This window comes from Homo sapiens, chromosome 18, assembly GCF_000001405.40.
Source record: "Homo sapiens chromosome 18, GRCh38.p14 Primary Assembly".
In the NCBI taxonomy this organism is placed as follows: domain Eukaryota; kingdom Metazoa; phylum Chordata; class Mammalia; order Primates; family Hominidae; genus Homo; species Homo sapiens.
The window spans coordinates 37148458-37169720 of record NC_000018.10 but is presented as its reverse complement, the minus strand read 5'-3'; the positions used below and the strand labels follow the sequence as shown (position 1 = coordinate 37169720).

Here is a 21263-nt window from a genome sequence, read left to right as displayed (position 1 = left end):
GACCAAGTTTAACTGTTCTTTTTTATTAATTCTCTAAGTTCTATTCCTTATTGCGTTTCCAGAAAGCTATACATCAGCTTTTAATTGTATTTGTTCCATTTATAAATTTTATTTAATATTAAGTATACCAACAATTACAGTTATGCATATTCATGGAACTCTATATTCCTGTATATTTAAACACACACACACACACACACAAACACAGACACACACACACAATAACAACATATGCTTAAAAATAAATAAAAATGCTGGCAGAGTGCCATGGCTCAGGCCTGTAATCCCAGCACTTTGGGAGGCCGAGGCAGGTGAACAATGAGGTGAAGTGTTCTAGACCAGCCTGGCCAACATAGTGAAACCCCATATCTACTAAAAATACAAAAAATTAGCTGGGCCTGGTGGCAGACACCTGTAATCCCAGTTACTCAGGAGTCTGAGGCTGAAGAATTGCTTGAACCCAGGAGGCAGAGGTTGCAGTGAGCCGAGATCGTGCCACTGCACTCCAGCCCGGGCGACAGTGCCAGACTCTGTCTCAAAAAAAAAAAAATATAAATAAATAAATAAATAAATAAATAAATAAAATGCTGTTAAGAATATTACTAGGCTAATTGATTTCATACATAAATGTGTATGTTTATATACATGTAATATATGTGAATGCATTTACATAAACACGCACATATATTTTCACATGCACAGATGGAATTGATTATAATGGATCATGTCCTATTTAGATATAACTGGGTATATTTCACGGCAATTTTTTTTTCTTAGAGTTCAATGTTTAAGAAAACTCTGTTTCTGGGCCCTTTGTTTTATTTTATATTTTTTAAACGGCTGAGCCATATTATCTATTCAGTTTAAAGAATAAATTATAAAGACAAAACCAGTGTAACCCATTCCCAGCTCAAGAAAGCAAGCCCTGGCAGCACTACCACCCAGATACAATACCAATATCCATCCCCAGTCACAATTCCTTCTTGCCTCCAGGGGCCCCAACTATTCTAATAATTATTTCCTTCTATTCTTTATAGTTCTACCATTTATGTGTTTGGTTAAACATGTCATTTAGTTTTGTTGCTTTTGAACTTTAGAAATATGTATATTATTTTTGAGACTTCCTTTGCTTAAATTGTCTGCAAAATTTACCTATGCTGATAATTTTTATGTACTGCAGTTTCTTTGTTTTCTTTGCTAAGTAGTATTCCATTGTATGCATTTATGACTTTTTATCCCTTCTGCTATTGAGGGACATTCGGAGTATTTCTGGTTTGGAGCTATTATGAAGAATGCTGCTGTGGCAGATGCTGTCAGTTATCCACCAAAATGTACTCCTTCCTTCTTCCTAGGTACACAGCTAGATTATATTCCCTAATCCTCCTTGTAATTACGTGTGGTAAGGTGGAAAGCCAGTGGACATTATATGTGCCACTTCTGTTCTGTCCTATAACAACTTTTCATGTGTATTCTTCCAATACCTCTCCTTGTCCTTGGTGACCTACTATGGCAGAGTCAACAAACAATTTCCTATAAAGTTGGGCAGATAGCATGAAAGAATGTTGGATTTTGTCAAATGCTTTTTCTGTGTAAACTGAGATGATCATGTGGTTATTCCTTCATTCTATTAATGTGTATTACGTTGATTGATTTTTGTATGTTGAACTGCCTTTGTATTCCTGGGCTAAATCTCACTTAGTTATGATGTATAATCCTTTCAATATGCTGTATTCGGCTTGCTAGTATTTTGTTAAGTATATTTTCATCCATACTCATAAAGAATACTGGTCTATAGTTTGCTTTTCTTGTGACATCTGTCTCTGGCTTTGATATCAGGGAGGGGGGCAGGGAAGTGCAGGGATGAAAAGGGCAGGGTCCCTGGTGAGGGTTCCACCATTGGGCCTGTGCCCACAGACCAAGGTGAGGACAAGCACTCCTGCTTGGCACCCAAATGTTGCATTTTCCAAGACCACCCTGGCCTGCCACCCCCACATCCTGTGCCCATAAAAACCCCGAGACCCTAGCAGGAAGGGACAGAAGCTGCTGGATATCAAGAGGAACACACCGGCAGAAGAGCACACAAGCAGCTGGACATCGAGAGGAGCGGAAGAACATACCAACAGGCACCAGCAGACACTGGCAGGCCATTGACCGGTGGAACGATGCAGACAGCGAGGGGAATTTGGCCAAAGCGGTTGGAAGAGAGTCCAGCCACTAAGCAGCCCAACTCCAGGGTAAAACTACCTTCCCACTCCATCCCCCTTCTGACACCCCATCCAACTGCTGAGAGCTACTGCCACTATTAAATAAAACCTTGCATTCATTCTCCAAGCCCACGTGTGATCCAGTTTTTCCAGTACACTAAGGCAAGAACCCGGGATACAGAAAGCCCTCTGTCCTTGCAACAGGTAGAGGGTCTAATTGAGCTGGTTAACACGAGCCACCTATAGACGGCAAAACTAAAAGGGCACACGGCAGCAAATGCCCACTGGGGCTTCAGGAGCTGTAAACATCTACCCCTAGACACTGCCATGTGGTCAGAGCCCCACAACCTGCCCATCTGCATGCTCCCCCTAGAGGTTTGAGCAGCAGGGCACTGAAGAAGCGAGCCACTCCCCCATTACACAACCTGCGAGGGAGATAGGGGAACTTTTCCCATTTCATTAGGATATATTCTTTCCTCTTACATTTTTTGGAAGAGTCTGAGAAGAATTTGTGTTAATTCCTTAAATGTTTGGTAAAATTCATCAGTGAAGCCATCTGGTCCTGGGCTTGTTTTGTTGGGAGGTTTTGATTACTGATTCAATCTTTTTACTTGTTATATAGGTCTATTTAGATCTTCTATTTATTCTAGATCATCTGACTTTTTGATGTGTCTATTGTTTGCCTCATTGTTATTTATTTTTTTAAACCCCAGGTGCCAGTGGTGTGTTCATCTGATTTTCAGTGTTTTCAAGGAATGTCCTATATGTAGCCACTCTCTGCCCAGAGAAAGTTTAGTCAGACAAAACAAAGGCAGGCTCCATGTGTCAGCCCTTTAGGGAATCCACAGACAGGTTAAAACAGAGAAACAATCCCTTGAGAACAGGGTCTGCTCTGCTTCCTCAGAGGGCAGATACTAAAACATGGAACTCAGGCTGCCATCTTTTAGACTGCTGACACGCTGGGAAGAGGGGAGGGCAGGGGCACCCAATCTTTTGGCTTCCCTAGGACACCTTGGGAGAACTGTCTTGGACTACACATAAAATACATTAATGATAGCTGATGAGCTTAAAAAAAATCACAACAAAAAAATCTCATAATGTTTTAAGAAAGTTTACAAATTTGTGTTGGGCCACATTCAAAGCTGTCCTGGGCCACATATGGCCCACGGGCTGCGGGTTGGGAAAAGCTTGGGGTAGGGCAAGACTAAGTTAACACTAAAGTCCTCCTACAATGCTTCAGTAGCCTTTCTCCTGGCTAAGAATTGGTTTTGTTTCTGTAAATCTTTCACTATCCTCCAGAGTTCTGATAAGGTAGCTTCTGACAGTTTTTGCAAGATTTTTCAGTGTTTCTTGGGAGAGATGAGGCCCTGAAGGTACCTACCACACCATTTCCACTGATGTTTCCTGATGCATTTATGACACTAGCATAACTCTGATACCCAAAGCTGACAAGGTCATTACCAAAAAAAAAAAAAAAAATTACCACCCCAATATCTCCCAATCAGTGTAATCATTAAACTACCTTCTGAGAAGAAAAAACATAACATGATTGTAAGTACAGAAAAAAAGATTTGATGAAATTCAACACCCCTTTATGACAAAGACTTTCAGCAAACTAGGAGGAAACTTTCTCAGCCCGATAAAGAGCATTTTCAAAAAGCCTCCATCTGCCCTGGCGCGGTGCCTACCTGAGGTCAGGAGTTTGAGACCAGCCTGGCCAACATGGTGAAACCCTGTTGCTACTAAAAATACAAAAAATTAGCCGGGCGTGGTGGTGAGCGCCTGTAGTCCCAGCTACTCGGGACCCTGAGGCAGGATAATCACTTGAACCTGGGAGGCAGAGGTTGTGGTGAGCCGAGATCATGCCATTGCACTCCACCCTGGGAAACAAGATCAAAAACTCTGTCTAAAAAAAAAAAAAAAAAAAAAATTAGCCGGGTGTGGTGGCACACACCTGTAATCCCAGCTACTCAGGAGGCTGAGGCGGGAGAACTGCTTGAACCTAGGAGGTGGAGGCTGCAGTGAACCGATATAGCACCATTGCACTCCAGTCTGGGCAACAAGGGCAAGACTGCTTCTCAAAAAAATAAGTAAATAAATAAATAAATAAATAAAAATAAAAAAAACCCTTCAGCTAAAATCATACTTAACGGTGAAAGACTATCTTTTCCTTATAAGGTTGGGAACAAGGCATGGAAGTCTACTTTTCTCATTGTATTCTATATTGTAATAAAACCCCTAGATGGTCTAAGGCACAAAAATTAGAAAGAAAGTGGTTGTTATGGACTTAGTTGTGCCTTCCCTAATTAATCTGAAGTCCTAAAGACCAGGACACCTCAGAATATGACGATATTTGGAGACAAGACCTTTAAAGAGGTAGTTAAGTTGGATGAGGTCATAGGGGTGGGCCTGAGAGTGACTGGTGTCCTTATAAGAAGAGGAAGCGTTCCCTGGGATGCACGCACAGAAGAGGCCATGTGAGGATGCAGTGAGAAGGCAGCCATCAGCAACCCAAGAGGAAAGGCTTCAGGAGGATTGACTAGAAAAGAGTATGAGGATTTATTGAAAATGGAAATGTACTATATCTTAATTGGGGTAGTGGTTACACGGGTGTACATAATTTTCAAAATTTATCACACTATACATTTAAGGCCTCTACAATTTAGTGTATATACATTAAACCTCAATTAGAATACAAGACAATAGAACCCTCCCCGTCCATATTTTCTTGACTCCTAAGGCAGCACTTTTTTATTTTGATTTTGATTTTTAAGACAGAATCTTGCTCTGTCACCCAGGCTGGAGTGCAGTGGAGTGATCTCGGCTCACTGAAACCTCTGCCTCCCAGGCTCAAGCAATTCTTCTGCGTCAGCCTCCCAAGTAGCTGGGACTACAGGTATGTGCCACCACACCCAGCTAACTCTTTCTATTTTTAGTAGAGACAGGATTTCACCATGTTGGCCAGGCTGGTCTCGAATTCCTGACATCAGGTGATCCGCCTGCCTCAGCCTCACAAAGTGCTGAGCTTACAGGCGTGAGCCACCACACCCAGCCAGTGCTATTTTTAAGAGCCCACTCTACTGATTTCTCTTTGACATTACCAATTGATCACCATAAGAACTCTGAAGAGACAAACATATATTTTGCTTAAAATCACTAAATCACAGCAGGTACTGAGGTGAAAAAGTCTACCTGAGTAGGTCCTTATTTTGGGGAAACAGGATAAGGGCATCGAAAGAAAAATCAATATATACAATGTTATGTTAATTCATTCAACAAATGTTTAATGAGTACCTACCACACCACATGTTAAGCAATGTTGTAGGAGATGGGGATACAACAGTGAACATATGGAACTTATATTCTGACGGAGAAGATACAAAACATATATAATAAAAAAGTAAACTATATAGTGTTTTGAGAAATTTCTTTCCATTTTAGAGAATGGGAAATGTAGACCCTCTGGTTTAGGTGACAATATTTCATATATATTAACATTAACTCTTAACACTAGTCTGTTATATTTGAATTCCTTTTTTTAGTGGACTAGCCAGGAGAATTTATTCTACATATCTGGGTTTATTCATAGCCCTCTACTATGCTTGCATACTATGTGCTGTTGATAAAGACATCAACTTTTAGCATATCTTCAGCTGAGATTTCTGGGAATCAGAAGTAGTATCTTAAGGTACCCTTATGGATGAACAAATAATAATGCTCTTGATGGTAATAATAAAAGAAACATGAGAAATGCTCCTTAGAGGCAAGATAGAAATGATTTCTGTACTTTGGACACTCCAATTGTTCATTTCTTTAAGCATGTCACCTACTTTAATCCATCTGGAGTTATGAAGAGTACTCACATCATTTTAAGCACAGGCTCACTTAGAGGAACAACTAGGAGCTTCTGAGATTATTCTTTACTTGAGTCTAGAATAATCATCTTCCAGTAAAAAAAAATATGTGTTTGGGAGTTACTAGGGGACCTCAACCAGTGGCAGCTGCTATATAAAATCATATAACCTAAGAAAACCCCAAAGACAAAATGAAGGGCACAATCTCTACCATCAGGTAAATCAAAATTACCCTAGGTTCAGCCTCTGCCAACATTTTAAGGGAATTTAGAGATTCAAGAAGGAGGAACAAAAAGGAGGAAGGGAGCGGCCAAAGTCAGGTTTTACAGCCTGACTTAGGAATGGGCAGTGCCAAGGTCAGAGGTTTAACATTTCAGTTCTGAAAACTGCGCACTCAGTGGCTTCACAGCCTCTGCTAGCCCATCAACATAACAAGAAAAAAATGCCCTCAGTTTTGAGGGCTCTCATAAAAGGGAATATCGATGATTGCTCAGGAAAGGGGGGTTCTAGGCAAGCTGGTGGAAAACGTTTTGAGGCTACAAGGGAGGAAAAAAGAGGAATGAAAATCAGGTGTTTCCAGATTTATGCCTTTTAAAAGTTCTTACTCAAGTTTAGATTTTCCCAAGTATTATCTCCCTGTTTGACATTGCTCAATAAAAGTAACTAAAACTGATGAACAAGTCTATATATCTTAAGTGTAATTTTGACAATACTGTACATATCTTTGCTATCGTAAGGTTGTTTCTTGAGACAATAGTCTGGTCTTTTTTTTTTTTTTAACATGTTTAGCATCATAAAGCTGGCAGAATGGTGAGGAGGATAGGAGAGGTAAGGGAGTAAGATACTGGTAATAAAGATTAATGGTCCTGTAGTAAATGTCCTGTGTAGTACTTAATGAGTAAAGGATAACAGCAAAAGAAACAAAAGATGTAAGACAGAAGAAAAGTATATTAAAAAATTCAGACACACTAAAGAGGGTAAAGCAATTAAGAAGGTGATGAACCAAGCAGTGTAACTTAGGTGATTAGTGCTAGGTCATCAGCCTTATGATAAACAGGGTTTCCAAGTCTACTGTGCATCCATGGAAAGTTTATATCTCCCATTTGGTTGGGTGCCACAGCAAATGCCAATGCAATAACTTTGCCCTGTACTATAATCTGCATACACTAGCTGTGCAATGGGCAGAATGGCTCAAAGGGGCAACTTTAGCCTCTTTAATGGTCATATAGATAATAATTTTGCTAACAGCTCCATATTAGAATAAAAGAAAAGGAAAATACAAGGCGGTCTTTTTCATGAGTAGAAAAGAAAGTCAGTAGTTCCTGTGAATGCCTTAAAATAAAAACTCTTAAAAAGATGAAAAAGTTTCTTTTTTTTTTTTATTGCAACACTACAACCTTCCCCCACCCCCACAAAAAAAGGGGAAAAAAAACCTAATGGAAGAAAAAATAAAACCATGAGTGAAAACTATTCCTGAAAACTTTGCAGAATTGTAACAGCTTTCTCTTGGTTAAATTGATTGGTATAGCAACATTATAAAATGACTATTAGGATTCATTGTGCACAACAGAAAGTGCTGAAATGTCAGCAGACTATACAGCAAAAAGTAATGGGTTCTGAACCCCTGTTAGTCAAAAATGATTTTGTTTCAAATTAGAAATTGATTTTTTTTGGACACAAGACCTTTTCAGGCTTCTGGCTTCTGTAGCTAGGCCCAGGAGAGATTAACCTCCACCACAGCAAGGGCTGGCCTGATGATATCTTTCTCAAAGTGCCTTTTCAATTGCTGCTTTCTACTGTTGCTGTGGTTTTAACCAATAACACAAGTTATTTGTTCTTTTGCTATTCCACTATATTTTTCTCATTTTGCCATTTTATCTTAGTGCTGCCACGCAACACAAATTTGAAAACAAGTTAACTGAAGACTATGTTAAGCCTTGCAGTGTAACCACCACACCAGTTGTGACTAGTTCTTCACTCTCCAAAGTGCAATGACTAAGAACAGAGGAAGCTGAGGTAAGAGTTTTCCATTTCTGAAGGACTGCTAACAGAGAAAGTAAAGATTCTACCTCATAAAGTTTCTTCAATTTAATTTTTATTTTTGGAAGCAATGTCTAAAAAGAAGCTTCTAAGTTGTTCTAAAACAATGGAAGTCTACAAAACCTTTCTTTGCCTTATGTCTAACAAAATGTACTTTTGCTTTTATTTCAAATTGTGGATAGTCCTCCCTCCCAAAATTTGAACTAATTATCATTTCTCAATTATGTGGAAGAGGATTAAACAATTTCTAGATTAATCACAATCAAACCCAAAAAGCATGACAGAGCTAGTAGCAGATGAAGAGAGGCAGGGAGATATACACCTGCAAGATCTCACAAAGCACTGCCCAATTTTCAAATAAATAAATGTGAGAGTGGCTACAGAGATTATGAAAAGTAGGTTGCATGACACCAGAGGTAGAAAGGTGCTGGCCCAGTAGGAAAACAGGTAAATAAGAAGGAAATCTGGGTTAATGGTTTTGAGAAGGGAAAAAAGACACTAGGAAAGAGGTGTGAGCAGGAGAGGGCTCAGAGGTCTTTTTGGTCTTTTGTTTCCTGTACATCTTTTCTGTACAATAAAGCTCAGACTTGCTCCATTCTTTTCCAAAGTCGTTCCTTTAAGGATGCCAGGAAAGATTAAGCCAAAAGCCTCTCCAGGAACAACTGGGAAACAAATAAATTTGCTTCACTCAACATTTAACATAGTTACTTATAATTGATTTCTTTAAAGTCTACCACATATAACAGGAAGTATTATTGACACTTAAAAGACTGTTAGGCAAAAAATGCTTTAGACTTGTGAGGTTTTGCTTTAGTCACAATATGGGGAATTGTCCATGACCTCTCCTCCACCCTCCCCATGTTTCCAGTCAATTGAGGATTAACTGTAGTTGTTAGGGTTTATTTTTCCAGGAGAGATTTATGTTCAATATCTTGCCCTCTTTACTCACTTGGAACATTATTTTAGTCTATGACCATACTTACTGCTGACTAATTCTTAACAGTTATTGCTTGCAAAAAGAGGGACAAGTTGGATACAGTTTTTCATTCCAGTATTCTAAGAAAAACACAGACACAATTCACTAATCTAGTAAATGTGTTACCTGTGGCCTTGCAGGCACACTTCAGTGTGTAAACATTTAACTTTTGCTCAGCATTGTAGGAAATCATCTGAAATTCATTGGCTAGCAACTACCTTCCCCTACCAGTTTCTCATTTTGCCACTACAGTTGTTAAACTTACCTCTTTGGGGTCTACATGTATCTTTCTTTTGACATGACCACTGGGCATCATCTTTCATATGCGAATGAAACCCAACTGTCTTCCTCTCCTTCCTATTCTCTCCACTGTTTGGGGGGTCTTGGTGCTTTTTAATAGATGATGATGTTCCAAGCAGCCAGCCATCACAGTTTGACTTCAATAAACTGAAAGAACAACGATGAATGAACTGTTGAAGGCACAGAAGGGAACACAGAGCACATAGATATTTAAATTCAGTATGGGTTGAAATGCAATTCATTAAGAACTCTCTTTATCTTACCTTTTATTGAGGTATAATTTAAATAATTTACTCAACGTCTATTTTGTGTCCTGTCACAACAATTTTGGAAAAGAAATGGCCTTTATTCTCAAAAAGCTTACACTGGGAGTTGGGGAAATAAGATTCAAACTGATGAAACAGCTAATAAAGTCACAGAATATGACTAAGAACCAGGCTATCTATAGAAATAAAAAGTATGCTAAAACAGGACTTGCATATCTAAGATGTTTTCCAAGTACTAAAAATGAACACTAGGGATTAAAATATCACCAATGTGCCTCACACAAACGCGTTTGTGTTTCTAATTTTCAATTGTTATTAGTATTTATTATGTACCCAGAGTACGTAAGGAGTAGTGTAACAGTGCACGTAGAAGAACTAGACTCCATACTTACATAGTTTCATTAAAAGGTCAACAAGACAAATATAGAATAAAAGGCATTTTAATGAAAATGAACACATGTACATATTTTCTTCTCTAATAAACCGTGTTCCCACCATTAGCATATTTCCTCTTATAATATTTTCTTATTTTAGGGAAAAATATTCTAATGATGTGTTATCTCTCACTATTCCACTCTTCCCTCTTCGTGTTTGTTCACAACAAACTCATGACACTTTGGTTTTGTCTTCCCCATGCCCATAAACAATGTGAAAATTAAAGAAAAAGACATGGAAATGCATAGAGGCAGCTACTCAAAAAACAAGATTCTAAAATTAAAACGTTTAAACTCCCCAGAAGCAAAGGGAATCTCTAGACAAGAACAAGCTGAATGGAGTGTTGCCAGGTCTATCACTTACTCCAGGTGGCCTTTGACCAGGATTCAAATCACATAATCTTCTATAAATGTCTCTGGTTTATATCGATCAGAATTTTTAGCAGTGTTTGCTCATATCATAATTTATTAACAAAAACCAAGAAAGTAAATGGCTTTATGTTCAGAATTATATAAAGAAAATAAAATCATTAGTTATATGGCTTTATAAAGTAGGCACAAGAAAATGTATAAAAGTGATACTCTTCTTTTTTTTTTAAATCAGAACACAGAGACCATTTTCCTCTCAGACCCACCAGAAGATGTATAACTTAGGGTTATACAAATTGCACTCACGGAACAGGGAAATACGGAAAATAAAAGTACCTTATTGTGAATGTTATATAAATTTACGTCAACCCAGAGGCCCCAAACCCAGGCAAATCCAGTGACTACATCTCTGCTTGTTCTGTAGAAAAATGAATGTGACCCCAACCATTGGCTTCCCCAAATTTGATTCATTCTCAGCTCAGCCAGACTCCCAATACTGACTGCCTTCTGCTTCTTTACAGCATTTTCACAGAAGCTTTTCTGTACCTTTATTCAAAATTCCACCTTGGTAATCCTCCATCACAACTGGAAACTTGGCTTCTAATTTCCCTAAAATAAAGATGACTATATGAAAAATTTCTTCCTTCATTTGTATTTATTTCCATATTCACCCATCTACTATTCCTCTCTTCATGTCTCAAAAAATTTTACCTTTTATTTGCACTCTTGATACCATCTTGACCCATCCCCTCTGTGACTATGGCCTGTCAATCATCTCTTTTTCTTATAACTCACAAACTCCTCCTCTAAACTGGATTTTTTCCTAGGGCTACAAACAAGAGCAGATCCTCCATTAATACCCAGTGTCAGTGAGCGTGTGGGGACAAGAGCACTTTAATACCTATTGCAGGAACCACAAATGGGTATCACCTTTTTGTGAGTGACTTGTCAACACAAAATGAAAATGCATCCCTCTTTCAACAGTTCTACTTTTATCCCACACCTGAGGCCAGAAATTTGAGATCGGACTGGGCATCACAGCAAGACCCCATCACTAAAGAAAAAAAATTGTTTTAAATTAGCCAGGCATGGTGGCATGTGCCTATAGTTCCAGCTACTTGGGAAGCTGAGGCAGCAGGATAGCTTGAGCCCAGGAGTTTGGGCTTATAGTGAGATATGACCATGCCACTGCACTCCAGCCTGGGAGACAGTGAGACTCTGTTTCCAAAAAAAAAGAAAGAAAGAAAGAAAGAAAAAAAAAGGAATTTCTCCTGCAGAATTACATGAACAACAGCATGAGAATATTTGTTTAAGGATAATCACTGGAGAATTATTTGTAATAGTGAAAAACTGAAAGCAAATATCATTCTATAAGAGAATGAATAAATTATGGTACATATTAATTATAAAGAACACTATTCAGCCATTAAAAAGAATGAGGTAATTCTTTTTTTTTTTTTTTTTTTTTTTGGAGAGGAGTCTCACTCTGTTGCCCGGGCTGGAGTGCAGTGGCGCAGTCTTTGCTCACCACAACCTCCACCTTCCAGGTCAAGTGATTCTCCTGCCTCAGCCTCCCGAGTGCTGGGACTACAGGCACACACCACCATGTCCGGCTAATTTTTGTATTTTTAGTAGAGATGGGGTTTCACTATGTTGGCCAGGCTGGTCTTGAACTCCTGACCTCGTGATCTGCCCACTCGGCCTCCCAAAGTGCTGGGATTACAGGTGTGAGCCACCACACTTGGCTAGGATGAGGTAATTCTTTACACTGATGAGAAGAAACTTCATGACATGCTATTAAAATAAAAGCAATTTGCAATTATAGAGTATATAATGTGATCTCATTTTTATAAAAATAAAAATATACAAAAATATTTTTAAAGTTCTGGATGGATAAATGTCAAACTAGAAGGGAGTAGAAGAAATAGAGGGAAGAGTTTTATATTTTAATTTATATAACTCTGAATGTTTTAATTTCTTCCAATAGGCATGCATTTTATAATTTAAAAACAAACAAAAAACTCTCACCATGTCCCTTCCATTACCATCTCCTCTCTCCTTGTCTGCTGAACGTCTAGAAAACAATAATTTATTCTAACAGACATACCGACTAGAACTTGTTTTTAAAGAACAAATCAAAAGGCCTTTCTTCTTTGAACAGTCTTGCTTGTTACTAGATCACCCTACAGAAATTCAAGAAATTCAAGAAAACATTTTTTCTTGAAATGTTTTCTCCCTTGGTCTTCATAACACATTATCCTGACTGGTTTTCTGGTTTTAGGAGACTTCTTCCTTCCCCTTAGATGCAGACATTGCAAAAGTCTGTCCCTGTCCTCTTCCCTCTTAGTACTTTCTTGGTGATCCTTGCCACACCTCTATATCTGCAAGTACGATTTCTAAACAGATTCTTCTAGTTCACAGTGCTTGCCAAAACTGCTGACCTGATCAAGTATCTGATGAAAAGCTGTAAAGCGATGTCTATTCCTGCCTCCCAAACCAACTCTTGCTAAAGCAATCCAGTATCTTTATCTTGAAACTACTTCCTCCTTCTGTTTCCATTCTCACTTAATGATATCACCATCCTCCCAGTCACTCATAAGAAATCTCAGTTGTCTCAACTTCTGCTCTCCTTATTCCTTTTTAATAAATTTCCTAATCAATCATTCACTTATATATTCATCAGATATTGACTGAAGAACACACTTTATGGGCCTGATATGTACTGTGAGACTGGGCTGGGCAAAATGGAAAACAAACATTTACAGAGGACTTATTTTATGCTAGGTGCTGGGTATACAAACATGAGAAAGCCCTCGTTCCCATTCTTTTTTTTTTTTTTTTTTTTTTTTTTGAGGCGGAGTTTCTCTCTTGTCACCTAGGCTGGAGTGCAATGGCACAATCTCGGCTCACCACAACCTCTGCCTCCCGGGTTCAAGCGGTTCTCCTGCCTCAGCCTCCCGAGTAGCTGGGATTACAGGCATGCAATCCCATGCCTGTAATTTTGTTACATGCCCGGCTAACTTTGTATTTTTTAGTAGAGATGGGGTTTCTCCATGTTGGTGAGGCTGGTCTCGAACTCCCGACCTCAGGTGATCTGCCCGCCTTGGCCTCCCAAAGTCCTGGGATTACAGGTGTGAGCCACCGAGCCCGGCCCAGCCCTGGTTCCTATTCTTAAAGAGATTTTAGTGGGGGAGACAGACGTGGAAACAGAATTTTTAATACCATATGCCAAATGCAGTAATTCAGGAATATACTGGATGTTATGAGAGTGCAAGGGCAAGGCACCTAACTTTATTTGCATAACAGAAGAGAGATTCCTGAAATACTCAAACTTAACCTTGAAAGATAAGGAAAAATGTAAGAATGTTCTAGGTAAAATAAAAAAGTATTAGCAAATATACCAACAAATGAAACTTCAGTTCATATTTTGGGAAAGTTAAATAGCTAGGTATTGTTACAGCATTAAACTTTGGGTGTGTGGTAGGGAGGAACGGAGATGAAGCAGGTAAGACAGGGCAGGTCAGATCATGAAAGGTTGCGTTTTCCATGCTGAGGGGCTTGAACTCTATCTTGTGGCCAAGGTGGAGTCACTGAAAGGCTCTCAGGAGAAAAATGATATGATCCAACCAGAATTTATGAAAAATTACTCTGGCACCATTTAGAGAATGGGCTTCAAGAAACTGGATGAGTTGGAAGGCTGCTGAAACAGCTCTGGTGAGAGATGAAGGTTTGCAATAGAGAAGCGGTAGTAGGAACGGAAAGACATAGTTTAAGAAATATTTAGGATTTAAAAAGGGTAGAACTTGATGTAAGAGAGAGGGAGAGAAAAGTCAAGAATGACTGCCAGAATTTTGGGTTGATAAGCAATACAGAGGAGGATTGGGGAAGGGTGGGAAAAATTAACTGCAGCTTGAGATGCTTATGGAACATCTGAGAAGATATTTCAAGAAAGTAATTTGATCAGTAACTCCATGGCTTTTTGCTATTGGCTAAGTGAGTTTAGAGGTGGTAGAGTTGAGGGAGGCAGAGTTGAGAAAGAATATGCTTCAATTTCAATTTCCTTGGTGTAGGAGGAGATACAGTCATTCTTGTGAGTGAGTAAAGCAGGTATTGAGAAGAGAGGTGAAGGTTTGGAGTATGTATTGAGGGAATTCGAAATAGAAATGAAAAGAAAAAGATTTTCCTGAAATGTTGAGGCCCTAACAGAAATAGAAATCATCCATTTGTAGCAGGGCTCAAGTGCAGAGATTAAAAAGCAGAGAAAGCAGTGTGAGAGCTCAATCTAGGGTTAGGATTTTTACTGGGACAATGCAGCAGACTGGGGGTCAAGGGAAATAAATATATTAATGTAGTATAGGTCAACCATTCGGTCCAGGAAGAAAGTGAGGCAACAGGGACTGAAAAGACTGGCAGAAAAATGAGGGGAAATAAATAATTTAGATATCCCTTTAAGGTAAAGCGAAAATAAAACAGCAACAACACCAGAAATATAAAAACCCTTGGTATGGTGTATGTGATAAACATGAGAATATAAGCTGTAAAGAAAGAGGCTGGGATGGCAGAGTCAATGATTTTTCTGATGAAACCATGGTGGGTGATAGCAAGCTCTGGGTGTCACCATGGATGATGCTGGAGTGAATTGAGGAACGCAGAAATTCTTTAGCTATGGCAATGGATACATCAACCATATGGATATTGGGATCTCACAGAATGATGGTAGGAGTTATGGGGGAGAAAGTGACTTTAAGTGGGACGTCAAGGTCCTAGTGAGATAATGATGGAAAACAAAGGATGGAAAAGGATGGACTGCTGCAGTAAAACTAGACATATATTTAGATTCACATAAATAAAGAGATATGCAAGAAAAATGCTGGCACTCCTCTCTCTGTTGTTTATCAAATGTGACAGAAAGAATGGCCTCTAATAGAAGTGGTGCTCTCAGAAAAGATGCTGATTTTAGGCAGTGATTCACAGCTTGGCAATACATTTAAATAATCTGGGGAATTTTTAATAAGAGCGATGGACTGAGTCTCACCCACTTGTCGAAACTGAATTAATCAGTCTAGGGTGGGACCTGGATATTATTTGCTTCCCTCTCTCACTCTCCTCTCCTTTTAAAAAAGTTCTATAGGTGATTCTAATGTTCAGATAGGATTGAAAATTACTGAGTTATTGTGAAGAGTGGGAGAAAACAGTCTTTTAGAAAAAGGCAGATGAAAAGAGTGCATTTCCTAGGAAACACGGATTCTCTAAGGCACCTGTAGGAAATCCTCGGGGGACAGCAGGAGGGAAAGGGGTGTCAGTGATGTGAGGAAAACCAGGGGAAGAAAGGTAGACATTTAAGCGAATAGAGTATAAGAGAAAAAACAGCACATGAAATACTCAAATTTTGGCATGAGTCTTTTTTTTTTTTTTTTTTTAAAAGAAAAAGAACAAGTCCTTGATTTAGAAGACCATAAAATCTAGGCTGGAGAAACAGATAGATACCTCTTAATTCCTCCGTTCACTTCCAGTGGCCTGATTCAGGTGCTGGCCATATCATACCTAAACAATTGCTATATTGTCCAGTTTCTGAACCAGTCCTGGAATCAGCCATTTCTTTGAAAAGGTCTGGTACCTTGTATTGGGAAAAAAAAAAAAAAAAAAAAAAAAAGCTATTGGATTGCCACAGCTCCCAAGTCCTTGCTGTGAACACGGAAAGAGAATACATGTATGTACCTATATAGTCATTTCTATATATAGGTATATATAGAGGGAAAAACATGCGTTTATACAGAGTTTATACTAATATCTTCAAAATTCCAACTCTAAACCAACAGGGTTCATTTTAGCTTCTTCTCTTTCCATAGATATATCCTTTCTCCAACAATGAAAAAAACTGGCTGCCATTTTCTGTAATATAACTGAAGTGGCATCATTCATCTGGGGTAATACCCAAGGTTTGTTGCCCTAAGCCAAGGAAATCAATGACGCAGACACACAAGGAGTGAGTTTAAGAGTGGGGGTTTAATAGGTGAGAGAAAGAGAAAAGCTCTCTCTCCTGCAGAGAGGGGCTCCTGAGTGGGTATTCTGGTTCCGTGGTTAAATGCATGGGGTTTTGTAGACAAGCTTGAGGAGGCAGTGTCTGACTTACATAAGGCCCAAAAGATTGGTCGGACCAAGTGTGCCATTTTCACAGTGCATGAAGAAGGTGGCTGCCCCACCCTAATTTTTTATTTTGCAGATGGGCTCTCTACCTTGCCAGCACCATGTTGCCTGTTCCTTTACTGTACATGTGGTTGACAAAGAAAAGTAAAGATGGAGCCTCCATGTTGAACATGCCTGGCCTCCAGGTAACCTTTTCCTATTGGCACAGCTGCCAGCATTTACCTGTGCAAGCTTCCAGCTTGGTTATCTATGTCTGCAACTCGATTTTTCAGGCTGCTCTTTGTTGGAAAACAAATGATTTGGGGGCTGCTTTTTGTTAAAAGGGAAGCCTTACTGAGGACTCTCTTACCCTCTCTAACTGCTTAAATAATTTCTTTTTAGCCCTGTACCATAATTACTTACTTAATACTTTTGTATTAAAATAATATTCTGTCACCACAGCTATTCATCCTTTACCAGCCTACTCCTCTCACACCACATGCTTCTGGGCTGCTTCTGCCAACGCGCCACTGTATGGACACTCTGGACACTGCAGGAGACAAAATGTGCTACCCAACAAAACGAAGGATTGTTGGGCTCAGGACAATTAAGAAAAAGCAAACACAGGAAAGCTCTCTGCCCTCCCTTTTATCTGCCTAAAAGCTGAACACAAACTTACAGAGACAAAAGGTACCCTGCTCGCCTTCTACTAGGGAGAACAAAGGTTAAACACTGAAGGCAACTTTAGACCCTTATCATCTGGAGACGATACCAGGGGAATCTATATTAACAGGCTTTACCAACTAGCCTTTATCTGTCATTTAGTTTCCTTGACTCAATTTGCTACCTTTAGGAACTTAAAGTCCTTTACCTTTGTCTCGTTACTTTTCTAAAATTCTACTGTTCTTTGTTGAAGATGCTATAAAAGCTGGAATGAAAACTACCTCTTTGAGAACTACTAATTTTCTGAGTTTCTTCCATGTACATATGAAACACACGTGTTAATGTATGTTTGTTTTTCTCTTGCTAATCTGTTTTTTTTTTTTTTTTTTTTTACATAGGTCCATTCCAACTAAGAACCTATGAGGACTGAAGAAAAAATTATTCTTCCCCTACAACCCATTCCCACCTAGCCATGACTGGGCTACTCCTAAGGAAGCTCTCTTCATCCCTCTGGGTAACAAGACCCCCTGCAAGGCCAAACTCCACATAGATACCTCCTTCTCATTCTGCTCAAGCTCCAACACACAACACCAGTGCAGTTCCCATATGGAAGCCCTCCTCACCGTGCAAAAGTTCTGATATTCTATGCCTAGCTGCCCTCTTCTATGGATGCCCTTCTCATACCACTCGCACTTTAATGCCTCAAGATCAAATTATTTTTTGGCTAGGATGTGAGGTAGGGATCAAGGTTCATTTCTTCCCCATATTTGTATCCAATATTTCTAGCATTACTTGTTTAAAAAGCTTTCCTTTTTCTACTGAATTGCTTGGCACCACCGTCAAAAAACAGTTGAGCATATGAGTGTGTGGGTCTGTTTCTGGACTCCATTCTTTTCCATCGATCTATTTATGCATCTTAAGGTGAATACCAACCTGTATTGATTACATAACTTTAATTTACATACCTAAAATTAGGTAGCATAAGTCCTTCAATTTAGTCTTCTAGAATAACAAAGACTGTCACTGCTATTCTAGTCCTTTCACATTTCCATATAAATTTCAGAATAAGTTTGCCAACTTCTATAAAACAGTATGTTGGTATTTTGACTGAAATTGCATTGAATCTAAGACTCAGTTTGGAAAAAAATTTTGATATTTATAACAATACCGACTGGTCAAATTCAAGAGCATATCTTTCTTTCCATTTAGTTTTCTTAAATTTGTCTCAGCAGTATTTTGTGGTTATCATGTAGAGATATTTTGCTTCTTTTGCTAAATTTATTCTTCATTATTTGATGGTTTTGATGGTACTATAAATGCTTTTATTTTCTATGCTAATTACTGTTATTATATAGAAATAAATTTTATTTTTATACATTGAATTTGCATTCTGTGATTGTGTTAAATTCACTTAATTCTAGTACTTGTCTCTGTAGCTTCCTTAGTATTTTTCCATGTATACAATCATGTTATCTGAGAATAAAGACAGTTTCACTTACTTCTTCCCAATATCTTTCATGCCTGATCACACCAGAACCTCCCAGACAATGCTGAATAAAAGTGGTAAGAGTGGACATCTTTACCCTGTTCCTAAAAGTGTTTGTTATTAAAGAGATGTATCTCTGTTGACACTATCATTTTTCCAGCTTGATGAGAGGTCTTTTTTTTCTTCCTATAATGAATAAGCACTGGATGAGTTATGTCAAATGCTTTTCCTGCATCTGTTTGAGATGAAGTTTTCTTTAATCTTTAAAAAGGATTAAAATATTTTTTATTATGTTAATATCACAAATTACATTGACTGATTTTCAAATGTTAAGCCTATTTAGTCAAGCTGTATTATGCTTTTTACATATTCCTGAACTTAAATTGCTGATATTTTGTTAAGGATTTTTTTGTGGGGTTTTTTTTTTTCTGCATTTGTGTCCATGAATTTATGTCCATGAGGAAGACCGGCCTGTCATTTTCTTTTCTTCTAATGCCTTTACCAGGTTCAGACCTCACAAAAGAAGTTGAGAATAGTTCCTTCTTCCTATAGTCCAGTGGTTCTCAAGTGTGGTAGGAGGACAGAATGTTGCCACACAGAAGGCATATGGCAATGTCTGCAGAGGTTTTTGATTGTCACAACTCGGGGATGCTATTGGCATCTAGTGGGTAGAGGCCAGGGATGCTGCTTAACATCCTACAATGCACAGGACAGCCTCTCACAACAAATAATTATCTCATTGAAACATCAATAGTACCAAGGCTGAGACACCCTGTTCTAGTCTCTGAAATAATTTGTGTAAGATTGATATTATTTCTTCTATAGATACTAGGTAGAATTTGCAAGTGAAGTTTTGATGGGTGTGTAGTTTTACTTATGGGAAAGTTCTTAACTAGAAATTAAATTTCTTTAACAGATATAGGGTTATTCAAATTTTCTACTTTTTTGTACCAATCTTGGTATATTATTGACTTAAAGGAATTTATATTGTTTAAATTGTCAAAAGTGCTTGCAAAAAATTGTTCACAACATTCCTTCATTACTTAAAAATATAATTAAAACATATAGTGATATATCCTTTTTCAGTCCTGATATTGGTAATTTTTTTCTTTTCATAGTAGGTTGATCATCTTGAAAAGGATTATTAATTTTATTTACAGTTTCAAAGAATCAACTTTTAGTGTTGTTGATTTCCTGTTTGGTTTTCTTTTTCACTGCATGACTTACCAAAGAGTAGCTGCTACAAGGTTGAAAGCAGAATAGAAATACAGTCACAGACTCTATCATGAGGTTTCAGTCAACAATTGACCAAATATATGACAGTGGTCCCACAAGATTATAATATCAATTTTTTACTATACCTTTTCTATATTCAGGTACACAAATACTTACCATAGTGTTACAACTGCCTAGAGTATTCAGTACAGTAATATGCTCTAATTAGATCCCATTTGTCAATTTTTGTTTTTGTTGTAATTGCTCTTGGGGATTTCGTTATGAAATCTTTGCCTGTGCCTATGTCCTGAATGGTACCACCTAGATTTTCTTCTAGGGTTTTTATAGTTTTGGGTTTTACATTTAAGACTTTATCCATCTTGAGTTAATTTTTGTATATGGAAGGGGTCAAGTTTCAGTTTTCTACATAAGGCTAGCCAGTTCTCCCAGCACCACTTATTAAATAGGTAATCCTTTTCCCAATGCTTGTTTTTGTCAGGTTGTCGAAGATCAGGTGGTTGTAGATGTGTGGTCTTATTTCTGTGTCTTCTATTCTGTTCCATTGGTCCATGTGTTTGTCTTTGTACCAGTACCATGCTGTTTTAGTTACTGTAGCCTTGAAGTACAGTAGCGTGATACCTCCAGCTTTGTTCTTTTTGCTTAGGACTGTCTTGGCTATATAAGCTCTTTTTGGTTCCATATGAATTTTAAAATAGTTTCTTCTAATTCTGTGAAGAATGTCAATGCGGTTTAATGGAATAGCACTGAATCTATAAATTACTTTGGGTAGTATGACCATTTTCACAATATTGATTCTTTCTATCAGAGCTTCTGCACAGCAAAGGAAACTATCATCAGAGTGAACAGGCAACCTACATAGTGGGGTAAAATTTTTGCAATCTATCCATCTGACAAAGGTCTAATATCCACAATTTACAAGGAACTTAAACAAATTTACAAGAAAGAAACAAACAACCCCATTAAAAAGTGGGCAAAGGACATGAATACACACTTCTCAAAAGAAGACATTCACGCAGCCAACAAACATGAAAACAAACTCAACATCACTGATCATTAGATAAATGCAAATCAAAACCACAAAGAGATACCATCTCATGCCAGTCAGAATGGTTATTACTAAAAAGTCAAGAAACAGCAGATGCTGGCAAGGTTGCAGAGAAATAGGAACGCTTTTACATTATTGGTGAGAATGTAAATTAGTTCAACCATTGTGGAAGACAGTGTGGCGATTCCTCAAGGATCTAGAACCATTTGATCCAGCAAACCCATTACTGGGTATATACCCAAAGGAATACAAATCATTGAATTA

The 21263-nt window shown here is 38.3% G+C and overlaps 1 protein-coding gene across 24 annotated transcripts in view, besides 1 other annotated feature; it reads right to left on the bottom strand.

Annotated features, from left to right (window-relative positions):
• KIAA1328 overlaps nt 1–21263 on the bottom strand; it is a 403046-nt gene that overhangs the window by 62452 nt on the left and 319331 nt on the right. For 23 of the 24 annotated variants that reach the window (NR_136303.3, NR_136304.2, NR_136305.2 and 20 more), the window contains one exon: nt 9340–9521. Coding sequence is in view for 21 of the 24 variants with exons in the window: in XM_047437678.1 (XP_047293634.1) it covers nt 9340–9521 (182 nt within the window). In the remaining 3 variants the exon portion in view is untranslated. Of the gene's footprint in view, nt 1–9339; nt 9545–21263 lie in introns of those variants that run through there. The other variant, XM_011526100.4, reaches the window with a different exon arrangement.
• Nucleotides 3815–4315: an enhancer, noted in NCBI's record as "H3K27ac hESC enhancer chr18:34745369-34745869 (GRCh37/hg19 assembly coordinates)". NCBI's record gives its function as "activates a minimal SCP1, AML or CMV promoter by ChIP-STARR-seq in naive H9 embryonic stem cells {active_cell/tissue: H9 hESC(naive)}" and the evidence as "EXISTENCE:reporter gene assay evidence [ECO:0000049][PMID:30033119]".